The sequence below is a fragment of the Homo sapiens genome, chromosome 9, assembly GCF_000001405.40.
Source record: "Homo sapiens chromosome 9, GRCh38.p14 Primary Assembly".
In the NCBI taxonomy this organism is placed as follows: Eukaryota; Metazoa; Chordata; class Mammalia; order Primates; family Hominidae; genus Homo; species Homo sapiens.
The window spans coordinates 108,867,317-108,886,559 of record NC_000009.12 but is presented as its reverse complement, the minus strand read 5'-3'; the positions used below and the strand labels follow the sequence as shown (position 1 = coordinate 108,886,559).

The 19,243-nt window shown below is 39.3% G+C and overlaps 1 protein-coding gene across 3 annotated transcripts in view; it reads left to right on the top strand.

Annotated features, from left to right (window-relative positions):
* Positions 1-19,043, top strand: part of ELP1 (elongator acetyltransferase complex subunit 1) — a 66,608-nt gene extending 47,565 nt beyond the window's left edge. For all 3 annotated transcript variants that reach the window (NM_001318360.2, NM_001330749.2, NM_003640.5), the window contains 8 exons: positions 4,373-4,435; positions 4,795-4,855; positions 6,395-6,508; positions 7,003-7,114; positions 7,810-7,937; positions 8,411-8,565; positions 11,590-11,665; positions 17,378-19,043. In NM_001318360.2, coding sequence (NP_001305289.1) covers positions 4,373-4,435; positions 4,795-4,855; positions 6,395-6,508; positions 7,003-7,114; positions 7,810-7,937; positions 8,411-8,565; positions 11,590-11,665; positions 17,378-17,445 — 777 coding nt within the window. In that variant the 3' untranslated portion in view covers positions 17,446-19,043. The remainder of the gene's footprint in view (positions 1-4,372; positions 4,436-4,794; positions 4,856-6,394; positions 6,509-7,002; positions 7,115-7,809; positions 7,938-8,410; positions 8,566-11,589; positions 11,666-17,377) is intronic.

Sequence of the window (19,243 nt, the reverse complement as noted above, 5' to 3'; positions counted from 1 at the left end):
GACGAGTGATATGGGGGACTAGGTGATTGATTTTCTACTGTTAAACCAACCTTGCATCTCTGGGTTCAACCCCACTTGGTATTATAGATTTATTACCCTTTTTCTCTTGTGGCAGATTAGATCTACTAAAATTTTCTTGAGGATTTTTGTGTTTGTGTTCATGAGGGATATTGTAGTTTTTTCGTGTCTTTGCCATGTTTTGGGTATCAGGATAATGCTGCTGTCATTGAGGGGTGACAAAAATGAGGGGTGGTGTCCTTTACACTTCTGTTTTCTGGAGGATTTCATGTAGAATTGGTATGAGAGTCTAGCTTATGGTTAAAAACCTATGTGTGATGTTTCAGACCTGACCATAAACAATTACAGACTTTACCTAGGAGGCCACATGGGGAAAAGCTGCCCTCCCTACACCAGACTTGGCGTACTGCCAATGCATTACAGTTTCTAAAGGGAGTTGCAGTCAAGGACTCAGGGCCCCCTGTTAGTCATGCTCTTGTAACAGTATTTGCATTGAGAGTCCTGGCACTTTCATTCTTAGGTCTCTCTATCTGAGGCCATGGGCCAAGGTCTTCTTCAGGCACCTCTGCCAAGGCCTGTTTATGCAAGAAGGAGTGGAAAAACCTTGACATTTTTTTCCACTGTGACTCACTACCCAGTACTTTTCCACCCTTAGCCCCCTTCCTTTGCACCCATACCCCCAAGATCCATCAAACTGCTAAAGCCTTTTTTTCCAAGCTCCTTCAACAGTGAACCAACCCTCATGTCTGTGTGGATCCAGCTGACTCTTGACTAGTGAGTTGTTCCTTGGGAAAAAATGGAACAGAGAGAGTTGGTGCTTTCCCTGGTTTTAGCCTCTTGCTTATACCAATGCAATGCCTGAAGGCTTAATTCATTTTTGACTTGTTGCTTTGATCAGCTACTCCAACACCTGACAGCTCAGCTCTTTCTCCCAGCTCTTGGGAGATATTTTTTTCTTTAAATGTTTAGTAGAATATACCAGTAAGGCCATCTCGGCCAGGAGTTTTCTTTAATGAAAGCTTTTCCACTATTAGTTCAGTTACTTTAGTAGACATTAGCCTATTCAAGTTTATCTGTGTCTTCTGGAATGAGCATTGGTAGTTTATGTCTTTCAAGTAATTTGTTCATTTCATCTAAATTGTCAGATTTATTGGTATGAAGTGTTTATAGTATTCTCTTATTTTACTGTCCGTAGGGTCTATGGTGATGTCCTGTCTTTCATTCTAGATATTGATGTGTCTTCTTTTTTCTGATTATTCTGGCCAGAGGTTTATCAATTTTATTGATCTTATTAAAGAATGAACTGTTTCATTGTTTTTCTCTATGATTTTTCTGTATTCTATATCATTCTTTTTTTATTATTTTATTATTTTATTTGCTCTTTATTTTTCTAGTTTCTTAAGGTGATGGCTTACTTTTATTTTTTTCTTATTTTTTTCTTTTGTTGTTGTTGTTTTTTTAAAGAAACAGGGTCCCACTCTTGCTCAGGCTGGAGTGCAGTGGCACGATCATGGTTCACTGCAGTCTCAAACTCCTACATTCAAGCTGTCCTCCCCCCTCAGCCTCCAGAGTAGTTGGGATTACAGGTGCATGCCACCATGCCTGGCTAATTTTTAATTTTTTTTGTAGAGATGGGGTGTTACTAGTTGCCCACGCTGGTCTGAAACTCCTGGCCTCAAGTGATCCCTCCACCTCTGCCTCCCAAAGTGCTGGGATTCCATGTGTAAGCCACTGTGCCTGACCAAGGTGATGGCTTAAAGCTATTGATTTGAGATGATTCCTTACTTTATAGTTTAAGCATATAATGCCATAATTTTCCTCAAGCACCGTTTTAGTTATGTTATACAAATTTTGAAATGTTTTGTTTTCATTTCCTAATTTCCCTTGTGATTTCTTTATTGAACCTTGGCTTATTTAGAAGTATGTTTAACTTGCAGATATTGGAGATTTGCCAGCCATCTTTTTGTTATTAATTTCTACTTTAATTTTGTTGTGATTAGAGAACATACATTTTATTAATTTAAATTTATAATTTATTTTAATTTATAATATGGTCTGTTTTACAGAATGTTGTGTGTGTATTTGAAAATAATATGAAAGCTACTATTATTGGATGGAGTGTTCTATAAATGTCAGTTAGATTAGGTTGATCATGCTGTTCTAGCTTTTTATATCCTTATTGATTTCCTCACTACTTGCTCTATCAATGACTGGGAAAGTGTTGAAGTCTCCCAGTATTTGTCTATTTCTCCTTTGATTCTACCAGTGTTTGCTTAATGTATTTTGAAGCTCTGTTATAGGTGCATACATGTTTATGAGTATGTTATAGATGTATTCATTTTGATATCCTTCTTTCTCTGTTACTATTCCTAATTCTGAATTTGACTTTAATGTTATTAATATAATTCTTCCAGCTTTCTCTTGGTTAGTCTTTTCATTGCATATCTTTTTCTATCCTTTTACTTTTAATCTAGCTGAATGTAGTCTTTATTTTGAAAGTGCGTTCCTTGTTGATAGCATTATTGGTTCTTTTTTTTTTTTAAATCTAATTTGACAATCTCTGTCTTTTAATTGGAGGGTTTAGACATTTGCATTGAATGTGATTACCAATATAGTTAGATTTAAACCTACAGTCTTGCTGTTTGCTTTTTGTTTGTTTCATTGATCCTTTGTTTCTTGTTTTTTTCTTTTTTTGCTTTCCTTTGGATTTAGTATTTTTCATAATTCCATTTTACCTCCACTGTTGGCTTATTAGCTATACTTCTTCATTTCAGTATTTTAGTGGTTGCTGTAGGATTTATAATAAATATCATTAACTGACCATATCTTCAGATAATCGTATACTACTTCATATATAGTGTAAAAACCTTACAAGAGTATTCACTCCATAATACTTTGTTATTGCTTTTGCTTTAAGTGATCAATGATTGTTTAAGGAAATTTTTTAATGACCTTTCATGTTTATTCTTTTTTTTTTTTTCCAAAAGATTCAGTATTTTCCGAGTTTTCAAAAACTGCTGGCCACTCAAAGTGGATCAACAAAAATTTAAGAGCTAAAACTGTAAAACTCTTGAAGGCTGGGCACAGAGGTTCATGCCTGTGATTCCAGCACTTTGAGAAGCTGAGGTGGGACAATCACTTGAGCCCAGGGGTTTGAGACCAGCCTGGGTAACATAGAAAGACCTTGTTTCTACAAAAAATAAAAACACAATTAGCCAGGCATGGCGGTGTGCACCTGTAGTCCCAACTTCTTGGGAGGCCAAGGTGGCAGGATTTCCTGAGCCTGTAAGTTTGAGACTGCAGTGAGCTGAGTTCACGCCACTGCACTTCAGCCTGGACAACAGAACAAGACCCTGTCTCAAAACCAGAACGAAACTATAAAACTCTTAGAAGAAAACAGGGCTAAATCTTCATGACTTTGGATTTGGCAATGGATGGTTAGAATTAATACCAAAAACACAATCAATAAATTGATAAATTGGATTTAATAAAAATTAAGAACTTTTGTGTATCAAGGACATTGTCAAGAATGTGAAAAGACAGCATATAGAATGGAAGAAGATATTTGCAAATCCTATATCTGATAAAGGTTTAATATCCAGAATATGTAAGGAACTCCTGCAGCTCAACAACAGAAAGCCAGTTAAATCAATTTTGAAATGAGCAAACGCCTGTAAACCCAGCTGCTTGGCAGATTGAGACAGGAGGATTGCTTGAGGCTAGGAGTTCAAGACCAACCTGGACAACATAGTGAGACCCTGTCTAAAAACATTTTTTTAATTAGCTGGGTGTGGTGGCATATTCCTGTAGTCCCAGCTACATGGGAGACCGAGGCAGGAGGATCACTTGGGGCCAGGCAGTCAAGGCTGCCGTGAGCTGTGATTATGCCACTGCATCCCAGCCTGGGCGACAGAGTGAGACCCTGTCTGAGAAAAAAAAAAAAAAAAGAACAAAAAAAAATTTAGAAGATTGCTATTCTAGTCTACTATTTTTTCAAAGGGTGGTCTTGTTAACAATTCTGGAGCCCACCTAAACCTGCTAAATCAAACTTGGTAGTAAAGCTGGGGAGATGGGCATGTCTAACAGACGTTTCTGGTGGTTTTGATGTCCAGGCGTGCAGAGAGATGATGCTTACCTTGTGTTTTGTCATTATTTTCAGGATTTACACCCCTTCCTTGTCTTTTGTATCAATATTTATGGAGTCATGAACTCTAGGATAGGCATGATGTTGAGAACTAGGAGTTCTCCCCTGGCCAGGGAGATAGAGGCAGGTCTGTGGTTAGTTTTGTAGTTGGCTGTGATGACATCTGACATGCTCTCTTCACTTGTTGTCTTCTTCCTGTTCCCTTGTCAGGATTATGAAGAAGCTGTGCTCTTGCTGTTAGAAGGAGCTGCCTGGGAAGAAGCTTTGAGGCTGGTAAGAATCTTGTAAATCCTCTGGATGTTGGGTGCTAAGCAGAGAGAGCAAGCAAGGGATTCCAGGTCAGTTGGAATCTCTTGTCTTCTGAGGTTCATGAAATAAGTAGAAATAGGTCAGGTTCCTGGCTTAAGGAAAAGCGGTGTTTTTAAAATCATTTTTATCATTCTTGATAATAATTTGAAATATTACTGTCTTTTACTGAAATGAATTGAATTTCCTTGGCTGCCTTGTAGGAGGCCTGTTTTTCAGGAAAATATTCTGATTACCTCTGAAAGTAATCCATGTCTTTCTAAGTATCTTAACTCTCCAGTGACTAGAAGTTTTCCTTCCTAAAATTATTGTGTTTTTCCTTCTAGGTATACAAATATAACAGACTGGATATTATAGAAACCAACGTAAAGCCTTCCATTTTAGAAGGTGAGGGTTCCATTTTAGATAGAATTCCTCATTTGGAAGAAGGTGAGGAGAGAGAGATGAGAGAGTCTCCTCCTATTTACTGTGTTTTCTTAATAATATGTCATGTAGACTCAATCAAAATTACCACCTGGATATAATATTTAATTCTCACTAGAATTTTTAAATATGCTGAACTATTAAATGGTAACAAAATATTTAAATGTTAGAAACCTGTGATCAAATATGATTAAGAATCTTTGTATTTGGAAATAGTAAACTTGAATATGAACTATATTAGATAATAATATAACACTGATAAATTTCTGGCATTTAATAATCATGTTGTGGTTATATAAGATAATATCCTATTATTCTCAAGAGATAAATGCTGAAATATTTAGGAATGAAGGATCATATCTCTGCCTTACTCTTAAAAGGTTCCACAAAAGTATTAATGAATGTGTGTATGCATGCAGAGAAACAGGAAGCAAAAAAATGTCAAAATGTTAGTAATTGGTAAATCAAAGTAAAGGGTATATGTGTGTTCATTGAACTCTTACAACTTTTATGTAGGTTTCAACGTTTCAAAGTATTTTTTAAAAGTTACCTTTTCAAATGAAGTTTGTGGTTCTTAGAGAACATATGAATATTACCAGTTCTAGAATACTCAGATGGTCACTGTGACCTCTTAAAAGCAAAGTGGAGAAGGACATCAGTTTGACTTATAGAAACCTTAGGGAGTGGTTGATTTTAAGTTCTGCATTTTTATGCACATCTACCCTGTAAGTAACGTCTGGCCTTTCTGACATTTACATGTATGCACATTCTTACCTTGTCTGCACCCCCTTCCTCCATCCTAATTAAAACGTTGCTGGGGTACTTTTTATGTCATTCACTTTAGGTACCTCTAACTGGGTACTGAAAACATCATTCCTCATCTATAATAATCTAACCAGCTCTTACTTAGATTTTCACCACTAATGAGAACCTTTCTTAGATAAATGCCGATAATTCATCTACATAGGCCCAAAACCTATTAATAAAATGCATCCTTGGATAGTAGTATTTTGCTTTTTTAAAATGTATTCTACTAGTGTTATTTTTCTCTTGTGTATTTTTCCATTGGACAATATTTATTAGATACATTTTTTCCACATCCATGGGCATTTTGATGGATGTTTAGCCAGAAACATTTAGGTAATTTTCTTCTTATTTTTGTTAACTGAGCTCCCCTCCCCTACCCCCCCTTTTTTTGTTTGTTTGTTTTGTTTGTTTGTTTGTTTTGCCAATCCTCCCTTGCTTTAGGTATCAAGTCTTCGTTCAGGTGATTTTACAAGTTCAGTGGTAGCGCATATTCTGGGATAATGTTGATGAACTCTAAGATCTGGAATCTCAGTCTCTAATTTGTTAATGCTTATTAAGGAAAAAGAGCTCGCTTGGAAAACCTAGTAACCTCTTTCTTTTTGCTGAATTTTAACCCTCCTTCACTGCTCCCCGCCTTTAGTTTTTTCTCTTTGCTTAAACCTCATGCTCAAACTATTTTCCATTCTGCATCTCCAGCCCAGAAAAATTATATGGCATTTCTGGACTCTCAGACAGCCACATTCAGTCGCCACAAGAAACGTTTATTGGTAGTTCGAGAGCTCAAGGAGCAAGCCCAGCAGGCAGGTCTGGGTGAGTATCTGCGTGAAGGCCATCGACGTGCGGGGGCAGTGGGGTTGGGTAACGCCACACATTGTCTAGATTGCTTGGTGATCCGCCTGCAATCTGATTACTGTGCCATGGGCAAGTGTGAGGCTTCTGTGGAGCCCCTTCAGGGCCCTCTGTGTCTGTGTTTGTGTGTTGGTGAAGGGCAGGACCAAGCATGAATGGGGAGAGCTCTGCCAGACATTCCCACCTACCCCCATTCACCCAGAGCAGCTGACCACTTCCGTGTCTAACAAAATGAGTTTCCTCATTTCCAGAAAAAAGTTCAGGAAACTACTGATTTACATTAGTAATTACTGTATTTAATATTATCTCATTCATTTTGAGATCAACTTTGCAATCATTTTCATCCATCCTTTGATATGCACCAGTTGACTCTAGTTAGTTCATTTACCGCCCTGAAAGTAAACCCACACATTAGCAGGCAGTGTTTTCATCGGCTTCTGGTTCTTCTTTTCTAGATGATGAGGTACCCCACGGGCAAGAGTCAGACCTCTTCTCTGAAACTAGCAGTGTCGTGAGTGGCAGTGAGATGAGTGGCAAATACTCCCATAGTAACTCCAGGATATCAGCGTACGTATCACATTGATTCAGCACATTGACTATATCCTGGGCATATAGGGAAAGTGGAAGCAAATAGATTGGTTTTCTACTGGGACGGTGTAGTGGGAGTGGGGAGAATATTCTTCAGCGCTGTGTGGAAGTTGTTCAGACACTTTCCCAGCATATCTGAGACATTAAACTTGGCATTGGAAGGTTTTCTTCCTCAGCCTTGTGGCTTGTGTGTTTTCCCATTCCCCACGAGGCAGTTCCTCCCCTGAATGCTCAGTTTATATTAACATCTGATTTTATTTTTTGAACAAATGTTGTGACTAAATTATAGGCACTGAAAAAATGAAAAGATAAGCTTCTTCAATTCAAAATCAGGATTGGAAGAGACCATAAATGTAAAATAAGTCATAACACTTTTACCAAATATAGTAATTTGTCAGAAATATTTATTCAGCACTCATATGGTAGGTGCAGTAGATGTTACCAAAAACTTATAAGGAGATATGAGTTATAAGAGTTTATAGTCTTGCTTGGGATGTGTAAAGCAATGCAAGATTATATATTCAAACTGAATTTTGCTTTAGGAATTTAAAATGGAGATCTGTGAAGTTGTGTGGGGTCATCAGCAACTGCAAGAAAGTAGCCAGGCAAGGTAGCACATGCCTGTAGTCCTAGCTACTCAGGAGGCTTAAAAATATCTGTGTAATTTCTAACAGGAGATCATCCAAGAATCGCCGAAAAGCGGAGCGGAAGAAGCACAGCCTCAAAGAAGGCAGTCCGCTGGAGGACCTGGCCCTCCTGGAGGCACTGAGTGAAGTGGTGCAGAACACTGAAAACCTGAAAGGTATATTCTCAGTCCTGATGATGATTCCTGACCACAAACAATAGTGAATAGGCAGTACAGACAGGCAGAGTTCAGTAGGTGATTAAGCTACCATTTTCCCAATTTGAGGAAAGATGAGAACTTTTAGCAGGAAGGGTCATGTCTGCACACATTCCTGAAGCAGCCCTTCTTAGCTGGTAACTGAGAAGCCTTCCTCCATTTGGCATCCCCCTAACTGAACTGGGAGAGATGCTTAGGCCAGGATAAAGAATTGTGGGACACTGCTTTCTGCGTAGGCCCCCCAGCGTGCTTGATTTTCTTTTTGTAGTACATGTGTTTAATTATTCCAGCATTTGGGAAGAAAAAAGATAATGTGGGAGAAAGGACCTGCAGTGGGATCATAGAAATTTTTGGCTTTGGATAGAAGCTATGTATGATTCTGTCAATGGAGCTGGGAATATAACTTACCACTCTTTCAAATTTCTTCTCTCTAGATGAAGTATACCATATTTTAAAGGTACTCTTTCTCTTTGAGTTTGATGAACAAGGAAGGGAATTACAGAAGGCCTTTGAAGATACGCTGCAGTTGATGGAAAGGTCACTTCCAGAAATTTGGACTCTTACTTACCAGCAGAATTCAGCTACCCCGGTAAGTTTTCTCAGAGACGGTGTGCATTTTTTTCATCATTTTCATGGGTTATTGTATTCACACAATCTCCAAGTCAAAAAGTTTTCCTGTTCTTAAAACATAAGATGCCATAGTTAAATTATCTTAGATTTATGTGTAAGCTGTCAGTAAGATTTGATATTTGCCTGTAGAGTGACTAGTATACCTTGGCATAGGTTAAATGGACTGTCATTTTCCTTTCTGGATGAAGTAGCTGTCATGGAGAAAATGGGAAAGTCACATGATTGCTCCTGGCCTTCAATGAGGTTGGAGTGGGGAGAGATGGGGGAAGATGGGGTCAGAGACGGCCTCTCACTTTCCTTTCAGAACTCAGGGATGGGATCAGGCTTTAAAGGGACCCCAGGCAATTGCTTTTCCTTTTGTTTTATGAAAAATTTGACTTGTCACTTCTATGTTGTTATGATGGACTTTGCGGGTTGTGTTTAAGGCTGAATCAGCTTTGTATCGCAGAATTCTAGTATATTGTCATCTGTTTATTATTTATACCTCTGTTCACTCTCTTATACTTCAAGTCTATTGTTAAGAGTTTTTATTTGGATTCAAAAAGGCTGGTGTATCAGTCAAGATCTAGAAAGGAAAACAAAAGCCTATCTATTATTTTATCACAGAATTTAATATATGGATTTGTTAAATAAGTATTAGAGGACTAAACAAGGCAAAAGGGAAATACAGAGGAAGGACATTGAGATAGTAACTGTAGGAAGCAGCTTTACCCTCTAGCTGAGGGAACAGGAGGAGTTGTTGGGAATTATTAGAATTTAGAAGCCTGGAAGTGGGGCCCTGTAGAGCTGGCTCTTGAACCTCTGAGAGGAGGGTGCCAGCCAGCTAATCCTGGCATTTCTGAGGGAGCTGGTTCCAAGCGTACAGAAGTAAATGGAAACTGGAAGGAACAGCTGCTGCTGGGGGAAAAGCCAGCCGGTCGGGCCAGGTGTGGTGGTGGCTCACGCCTGTAATCCCAGCACTTTGGGAGGCCAAGGCAGGCGGATCACCTGAAGTCAGGAGTTCGTGACTAATGTGGCCAACATGGAGAAGCCCCGTCTCTACTAAAAATACAAAATTACCCGGGCATGGTGGCGCATGCCTGTAATCCCAGCTACTCAGGAGGCTGAGGCAAGAGAATCGCTTGAACCTGGGAGACAGAGGTTGTGATGAGCCAAGATCGTGCCATTGTACTCCAACCTGGGCAGCAAGAGCGAATCTCCGTTTAAAAAAAAAAAAAAAAAAGCCAGCCAATCACGGAAGAAATCTAGAAATCTTTTGTTCATCCTCCAGCTTTGTACTCCCCCTCTGGTGTTCACTGTAGGCAGGACATGATGGGAAGCCAGCAGCAAGGAAGAATATCTTTCAGGTGCCCAGCCCCAGCACCACAAGCAGTGGATAGAAGGGTGGGTTGGAGCTGAGAGATTACAAATCAGCTCAGTGTTTAGAAACACATACGCTTATCATGTCTTGATTTCCTCATTTAGAAATGGGCATAAGACTTCTCTGTGTGCTTCAATAGAATGCTTTGAAGGTTAAATAAGAGGGTGTGTGTAAAAGCACTTTACAAACCGTTGAAATAAAAGCAACTAGGAATCAGGGCCCCAGAACTTCTTGAATTTATTATAATAGGTATTTCTTAGAAGAAATGTGATCATCATCTTCAAAACTGTAGTACTTTTGAAGATAATTGTTTTTGTTTTTTGAGACAGGGTCTCACTCTGTTGCTCAGGCTGGAGTGCAGTGATCACCGCTCACTGCAGCATCCACCGCCCCGGGCTCAGGTGATCCTCCCACCTCAGCCTCTTGAGTAGCTGGGACTACAGGCGCATGCCACAACACCTGGTTAATTTTCAAATTTTCTGTAGAGACAGGGTGTCACCAAGTTGTCCCCGCTGGTCTTGAACAACTCCTGGGCTCAAGTGGTCTGCCCACCTCACCTCTCCAAAGTGCTGGGACTATAGGCATCAGCCACCATGCCCGGCTTGAAGATAATAATTTATAATACCACTCCCATGAGTGATCTTCTCTTCTGATCACATATTCACATTAAGGTCTATTTTATTTTATTTTTTTCTTGCTCTGTCACCCAGGCTAGAGTGCAGTGACAGTATGATCAATCATGGCTTGGTGCAGCCTCGAATGCCTGGGCTAAAGCAGTCCTCCCACCGCAGTCTCCTGAGTAATTGGGACCACAGGTGCACACCACCATGCCCAGCTAATTTTAAAATTTTTTCCTAGACATGGGGAGAGGGAGTCTTGCTGTGTTGCCCAAGCTGGTCTTGAACTCCTGGCCTCAAGTGATCCTCCTGCCTTGGCCTCCCAAAGTGCTGAGATTACAGGTGTAAGCCACCATGCCTCCCACATTAAGTTCTAAGACATCAATTTTATGATTGTGGTTTTGATTGGTGAAGTATGGTTGTGGTATGTGCAGGATACCGTGAGTGACTTCTCATGGCATTGCTCTTGAGAGTGTGCCACCAAGGGTCTGCACTAACCAGGGGTGTGCCCAGAGGCTCGCTGCAGGCTTGAAATTCCTGCGGAGTCTTGTGTTTTACCTGGAGCACATGTGCACAGTTTCCATTCTGCTCCATAGTATGCACATGTTTGTATTTATTTCAACCTAAAAATGTTTGTTTCCCATAACTCTTTGCGTATAATTGATACTCTACGTATTTGTAGCCTCTTTTACTCTTTTCCCTTTCCTCAGGGAGTGGTTTGCTCATTTAGAAAAGGCCAAGATATATCACTGTAGAGTTTCGTTTCTTTTCTTTTCCTCCACCCCCCATCTTTACCTTGTTCTGGGAGAAAGGAGAATTAGAAGTCTGAGTTGCAGCTGGAGAAACTGGCAAATTAAAATCACATTGGGAAAGAGAATTACTGTGTTTCACACCATACCAGTAGAAATGACAGGCTGTTTTCTGGGGGTAGGGATTTGGCCTTTGGTATTGGCAGTCTTGAGAAGTATTAGATAATCTTTGCTGATACAGTCTATTTTCTCCTCAGGTTCTAGGTCCCAATTCTACTGCAAATAGTATCATGGCATCTTATCAGCAACAGAAGACTTCGGTTCCTGTTCTTGGTTAGTATTTTTTCTCATTTAATATTACAATACTAAGCAGAAGGACTATCTTTCTGTAAGTATTGAGAAGATCAGCAGTATAAGGAGAGATTGGATACAATTTTTCACTACAAAAAATTGACTACAATTCTTCCTCAATTCTAAGACCGCATCTTTAGTATGATCAGTTTCATGCTTCTAGCGGTGGGGGACCTGGTGCAGGAAAATCCAGCATGACCATTGTATGTGTAATTTTTAAAAATATTTATGTGGCATATGCTTGTTCATAAAGGCACACCACAGTTCCAGTTTCAGTCTAAACTGTCTACATTTACATATACATCAAAAGATTCTTCTGAAGCATCATTACTGGCTATTGGCAGTTATGCTTTGCATCTTGGGGGCATTTTCATAAACCTTGCTTATGAGTGGGACCTTTTTATTATGTTTAGGATTGACAATATAATTTGAAGGCAAATCCAAAGAATATTAGCATTTTATACATATTTCCTGTTTAGTTATGCATGAAGTGTTTTATTTGTTGAGGGGAGATGATTCTCAATTAGATTACTTATATCCCTAAAAATTAAAAACCCTAAGCGCTTTCTTTTGAAAGTTGGTTAGAAACATTTGATGAGTCAGCTTGGGACTTTCAGTATTTGCCCTTACTTATAGTTGGATCAATGAAGCATCTTAGCTTTGAAAAGTGAATGATAGTTTCTAAAATAATTGGCAGTTTTAACTGCTATTATTTGCATTTCTAGCATGTGACAAGCAACTTTCTGAAATTTTTTTTCACCGAAGTGCTACACTGTAATAGCATTTTGATGACATTTGAAGTAGCCTGTGGGGATTCAAATTAAGTTTGACTTTAACAGCTTATGTTGCTACCAGGAAGAACAGCTACCTTCCATCCCAGCTAAACTCATACATCCAGACTGTAACTACTGTATTCCTAGCTCCTCTTCTGTCTAGAGAATGGCAAGGTTCTTTTGGTATCAGTTTCGACATATCCACTTATTCCTTTTTTTTTCTTAAGTTTTTTCATTTAGAAAAAAAAACAGATGGGGTCTTAATATGTTGCCCAGGCTGGTCTCAGCCTCCTGGTCTCAAGTGATCCTCCTGCCTCGGCCTCCCAAAGTGCTGGGATTACAGGCGTCTGCCCCTGTGCCCAGCCCACTTATTTCCCAGATGCTAGGAACTTACATTAGACCTGAGGCCATTTGGTCATTGTTTATTTTGTGCTGTAGTCCAATCCAGTTGTGATTTCTGCCTCCTGTGTTCCTCGTTGCTGGCCTGATGCTGACCTTCAGGTTAGGTCAGTCCCATCATTCCCCAGGGTATTCTAGATGGCTTTCCCACTTCAAAGAGCACTTTCTTGTTTTCCAGCTGAGCCTTAAAGACACTCTGTAATATTTGAGAGCCCCTCATTATCTGAGTGTTTATTATCATTACCCTTGTGGTTTCAAGGATGTATAGGAAAAGGTAAGTTCCTATAATTCAAAAATTGCCACTGATGAACTAATCACAAAATTAGTGCCACTCAAATATTACTCAGCTGCCCCTCCCCAGCTAACAATAGTTAAGTATATTGGCACATCCCCACAAGTGAAATCAATGACTTGATGGGTCATTTCTGATTGTTTCCTGCTTTGATGCAATACAATATCATGCAGATCAATTGCAAGTCTTGCAAAAATTTAGTATTACATAAAATAGATTAAAATGATATTGGAAAAGTACTTGAATCACAGCTGGGTTGGACTTGTTGCAATTGATGACAAAATAAGTGCTTCAAATGATTTTGACTATCAAAGGATTGAGAGAGGTCCTTAGAAAAATTGAAAAGCCCTCAAGTTATTTTTATAAAAATGGCCTTTTTTGTGTGCTGTGAAATCCACATATGGAAATGTGAAATATGTCATGTCCTGCTGTCATATAATTTGTCAGAATAATTACTTTCTTGCCCAAAAGTCTGTACTTTGTGTTTATTTCAAGTTAAGTCTAGAATCAAATATAGTTGTAGTTATGCCTAATTTTAAAAAATGAGATAGAGCACATTATTTTTGTAACTAGTTTTTTTTTTTTTTTTTTTTTTTTTTTTTTTTTTTCAGACAGAGTCTTGCTCTGTGGCCCAGGCGGGAGTGCAGTGGCGCAATCTCGGCTCACTGCAAGCTCCGCCTCCCGGGTTCACGCCATTCTCCTGCCTCACCCTCCTGAGTAGCTGGGACTACAGGCGCCCGCCATCACGCCCGGCTAATTTTTTTGTATTTTTAGTAGAGACGGGGTTTCACCGTGTTAGCCAGGATGGTCTCGATCTCCTGACCTCGTGATCCACCCGCCTCGGCCTCCCAAAGTGCTGGGATTACAAGCGTGAGCCACCGCGCCCGGCCTGTAACTAGTTTTTTTAAGATAAAGTCTTATTCCAACTTTAATTGGAATTTATGAAATACCTTGTTGATAGTGAATTTATTTAAGTAGCCTTTTTTCAGTATTGATATTCTTATATCTTTATGGCACCATTTAGTGGAGAGAAATGTAAACAAACATAAAGATGTAGTATTAAATCATAACTGCATAAAATTAACTGTAGTATGTACTGCACTACTGTAATAATTTTGTAGCTACCTCCTGTTGCTATTGTGGTGAGTGAGCTCAAGTGTTACCAATATCTGCTTAAAATGCCATGTGCCGCTAACCATCTCCACATGAGCAGCACATGAGAGTCTCCATTAATTGCATATGGCAGCGAAAAGTGATCTCTTGCATTGTCGTGTATTTTTTATCACGTTTAATGTAATATCGTAAACCTTAAATAACACCATGAGACCTATAGGAAGTACCACAAGTGTTGCTCCCAGGAAGCAGAGAAAAGTCATAACATTACAAGAAAAAGTTGACTTGCTCGATATGTACTATAGATTGAGGTCTGCAGCTGTAGTTGCCCACCACTTCAAGATAAATGAACCCAGTGCAAGGACTATTATAAAAGAAAAGGAAATTTATGAAGCTGTCACTGCAGTTATGCCAGCAGGCATGAAAACCTTGTACTTTTTGCAAAATACCTTTTTATGTTGTATTGAAGATGCAGCTTTTATGTGGGTGCAGGATTGCTATGAGAAAGGCATACCTATACAACTATTATGATTTGAGAAAAAGCACAGTCATTGTATGAGAACTTAAAGCAAAAAGATGAAGGATCAAAGCTGGAGAATTTAATGCCAGCAAAGGATGGTTTGATAATTTTAGAAAGAGGTTTGGCTTTGTAAATGTCTGGATAATAGGAAAAGCAGCTCCTGCCATCCAGGAGGCAGCAGCAAAGGCAGTCAGGTTTATGATCAGGACTGCCCTTATCTGTAAAGCTGCTAACCCCCGAGCCTGGAAGGGAAAAGATTAACACCAGCTGCCAGGCTTTTGGTTGTACCATACAACAAGAAGGCTTGGACAAGGAGAACACTTTTTCTGGATTGGTTCCATTGTCGATTTGTCCCTGAAGTTAAGTAGTATCTTGCCAGTAAGGGGACTGCCTTTTAAAGTTCTTTTGATACTGGAGAATGCCCGAGGCCACCCCAAACTCCATGAGTTCAACACCGAAGACATTGAAGTGATCTACTTGCCCCCAAACACACATCTCTAATTCAGCCTCTAGATCAGGGTGTCATAAGGACCTTTAAGGCTCGTTACAAACAGTACTCTATAGAAAGGATTGTCAAATGTATGGAAAAGAACCTTGACAGAACATGAAAGTCTGAAAGAATTACACCATCAATGATGCCATCATTGTTATAGAAAAAGCTGTGAAAGCCATCAAGCCCAGGACAATAAATTCCTGCTAGAGAAAACTGTGTCCAGATGTGCATGACTTCACAGGCTTTACGACAGCCAATCAAGGAAATCATGAAAAAGATTGTGGATCTGGCACAAAAAAAAAAAAAAAAAAAAAAAATGGTGCATGAAGGATTTCAAGATAGGAATCTTGGAGAAATTCAAGAGGTGATAGACATCACACCGGAGGAATTAACAGAAGATGACTTGATGGAGATGAGTACTTCCAAACCAGCGCCAGACAATGAGGAAGATTACATAAAAGAAGCAGTGCCAGAAAATAAATTGACATTTGTTCCAAAGGTTCCAATTATTCAAGACTGCCTTTGGCTTCTTTTACAACATGGATGATTCTATGTTATGGGCACTGAAACTAAAAGAAACTGTGGAAGGATTGGTACCTTAGAGAAATGAAAAAGCAAAAACATCAGAAATTATGGTGTATTTCTGTAAAGTTAGTGACACTGAGTGTGCCCACCTCTCTTGCCTCCTCTTTAACCTCCCCTACCTGTTTCATCTCTACCACCCCTGAGACAGCAAGACCAACCCCTCCACTTCCTCCTCTACTTCAGCCTACTCAACGTGGAGATGACAAAGATGAAGACCTTTATGATGATCCACTTCCATTTAATGAATAGTAAATATTGTTTTCTTTATGATTTTCTTAATATTTTCTTTTCTCTAGCTTACTTTATTGTAGGAATGTAGTATATAATACATATAACATACAAAACATTTGTTAACTGACTTTTTATGCTGCCAATACACTGCCGAACAACAGTAAGCTATTGGTACTTGAGTTTTGGAGATTCAGAAGTTAAACATGGGGCCAGGTGTGGTGGCTCACACCTGTAATCCCAGCACTTTGGGAGGCTGAGGTGGGTGGAACGAGACCAGGAGTTTTGAGAGTAGCCTGGGCAGCATGGTGAAACCTTGTCTCTACAGAAATTAGCCAGGTATGGTGGTGTACACTTGTAGTCCCAGCTACTTGGGAGGCTGAGGCAGGAGAATCGCTTGAACCCAGGGGGTCGAGGCTGCAGTGAGTCATGATCGTGCCACTGCACTCCAACCTGGGCAACAAAATGAGACCCTGTCTCAAAAAAAGAAAAAAAAAAGGTATATGCAGATTTTTGACTGTGCAGGGGGGTCCGCACCCATAACCCTACATTCAAGGATCAACTGTAATTTTTCATGCCTGCATGGCTCATATGTACAGATTTACTGCTGGAAGTTTATCATAAATAATGCTGAAAAAGAAAATCCTTATATATACATATTTTCTCCTATCTCTGCTTGCAGTATATGATTCCTGGTTAGAAAAGAAACTTAACAAATCTAAGTGAAAGAGTGCCTGGGAGTTTTAGGTTACAATGACAGAATCTTTTCCTAACCCTCTCTCTCCATTCACTTTTTTTAAAGCAGGGGCATCTTTATTGATCAACATGTTTGTCGAAGTTTCATCATAAAGTAGTTCCTGTCCATTAACTTCACTTACTGAATATGTGCTATCACATTTTGCTATTCCTTAAAAATTGAGCTAGACTTTACATATAGTGAAATGCAGAGATTTCAGGTGTACAATTTGATGAGTTTTAATAAATGTATACAGCCATGTGACTGCTGCCACCACCCCTCCCACCAGTTTGAAATACAGAACATTCTTCCACTTTGAATCACTGGGTGAGCATGCCTGAGGTTGAAATGCAGTCCCTCCTCTCAGGGCGGGGCCTCCAGGTTGTGTTTGCTCTGACCTGGAGGTTGCAGGGGTAGCAGACACATGAACTCTGGCTCTGATGGTCTTATTGCTGCAAACTCCACCTGCCTAGTTTGTTTAGTTTAGAGTTACTGCCTCAGCGCCCTCCAACAAGAGTATGTCTGTCACAATTTCCCTTCCTTTCTTGCTTTTAGATGCTGAGCTTTTTATACCACCAAAGATCAACAGAAGAACCCAGTGGAAGCTGAGCCTGCTAGACTGAGTGACTGCAGTTAGGAGGGATCCGACAGAGAAGACCATTTCCACTCATTCCTGTTGTCCTACCACCCCTTGCTCTTTGAGGGCTGGCTATTGAGAACTGGAAAGAGTAAAATGATAACTTACCTTAGCATTGCCAAGAACTTCAGCAGACAACAAGCAATTCTATTTATTTTATGTTGTGTATACATCTTGATCATTAGCAAGACATTAAGCTTTAACCATTATGGCACCATTTTGTGAGAATGATTGTTCTTTCACTTGGGCTGTTTGAGAGCATAATTATGGTAATCATGAGATTAATGTTTCATGATTTCTACCTCCAAAGTGTGAAGACAAGTAAAACAATGTTTCTAAATTGTCTTATTTTGTTGGCGGAGAAGATTACAATGGCTATTAGTGCTACATTTGGTCAAATGTAATCACTTAAATAGCTTCTTGTCACCTTAAACTAAAGCAGAATAAAAAGTATCCTTTGAAATTATAAGCCCTCCTTTGCTGACAGCTATTATTTTGTAACATCTTACCAGGTCATGTGCTTTCAGTTATAACTGGGCTGAGCCTCCTATAATTACAATGTCTATAGGGACTGTTTTACTGCCTGTGTATTTTCTGCTAGAGAGTTAGCAATGTTAGAGCTAGAACAGATTAGAATTTCTAAACAGTATCATGCACAGTTGGTGTGAGTGATCAGTGTGCATTGTATGGCATGCATGGTTGTGAATTATTCTCTGTTCTCCAAATACTGTTTCTTTAACTCAGATATTTTTGTTAGTGTCTAGGCCACTTCATTTATTTTTCGTCATGGTACTTTACTGACTTCTCTTTATTCAATTCTCCACGCCCTCACCAAAAAAAACTGTCTCAAAATGAGAATATTTTATTTTCATGGTGAGTCTAGAAAACGCCCACTTCATTCTGATTAAAAATTCTTCCATGTTTTAAATATCAGAACCAGACCTTTCTTACTGTGTATCTTAGCCCATTTGTGTCTCTATAACAACAACCAGCTTTCAAAGGAACTAATAGAGTGAAAACTCACTCATTACCACGAGGATGGCACAAGCGATTCACGTAGGATCTGCCCCTGTGACCAAAACACCTCCCATTGGGCCCCACTTCCAACACTGGTGATCACATTTCAACATGAGGTTTAGGGAAACAAATGCCTAAACTACAGCACTGTACATAAACTAACAGGAAATGCTGCTTTTGATCCTCAAAGAAGTGATATAGCCAAAATTGTAATTTAAGAAGCCTTTCCCAGTATAGCAAGATGTTAACTATAGAATCAATCTAGGAGTATTCACTGTAAAATTCAACTTTTCTGTATGTTTGAACATTTTCACAATCTCATAGGAGTTTTTAAAAAGAAGAGAAAGAAGATATACTTTGCTTTGGAGAAATCTACTTTTTGACTTACATGGGTTTGCTGTAATTAAGTGCCCAATATTGAAAGGCTGCAAGTACTTTGTAATCACTCTTTGGCATGGGTAAATAAGCATGGTAACTTATATTGAAATATAGTGCTCTTGCTTTGGATAACTGTAAAGGGACCCATGCTGATAGACTGGAAATAGAAGTAAATGTGTTTATTGATAATGGTGTGAATTTTCCTGGACATTCAGTTTCCTTAAATAATGTATTGAAGCAGCAAGAAATAATTTGTTTGAATGCAAATTACTATCAATTACTGTTTCTCTCATCTGAGCAGGATTGGATTTTGTTCCTTTTTAGAAGAAGCAGGCAGGAGGAGACCTTCCAAATTGAGGCAAAGCCAAGAATTGAATATTCATGGGGGA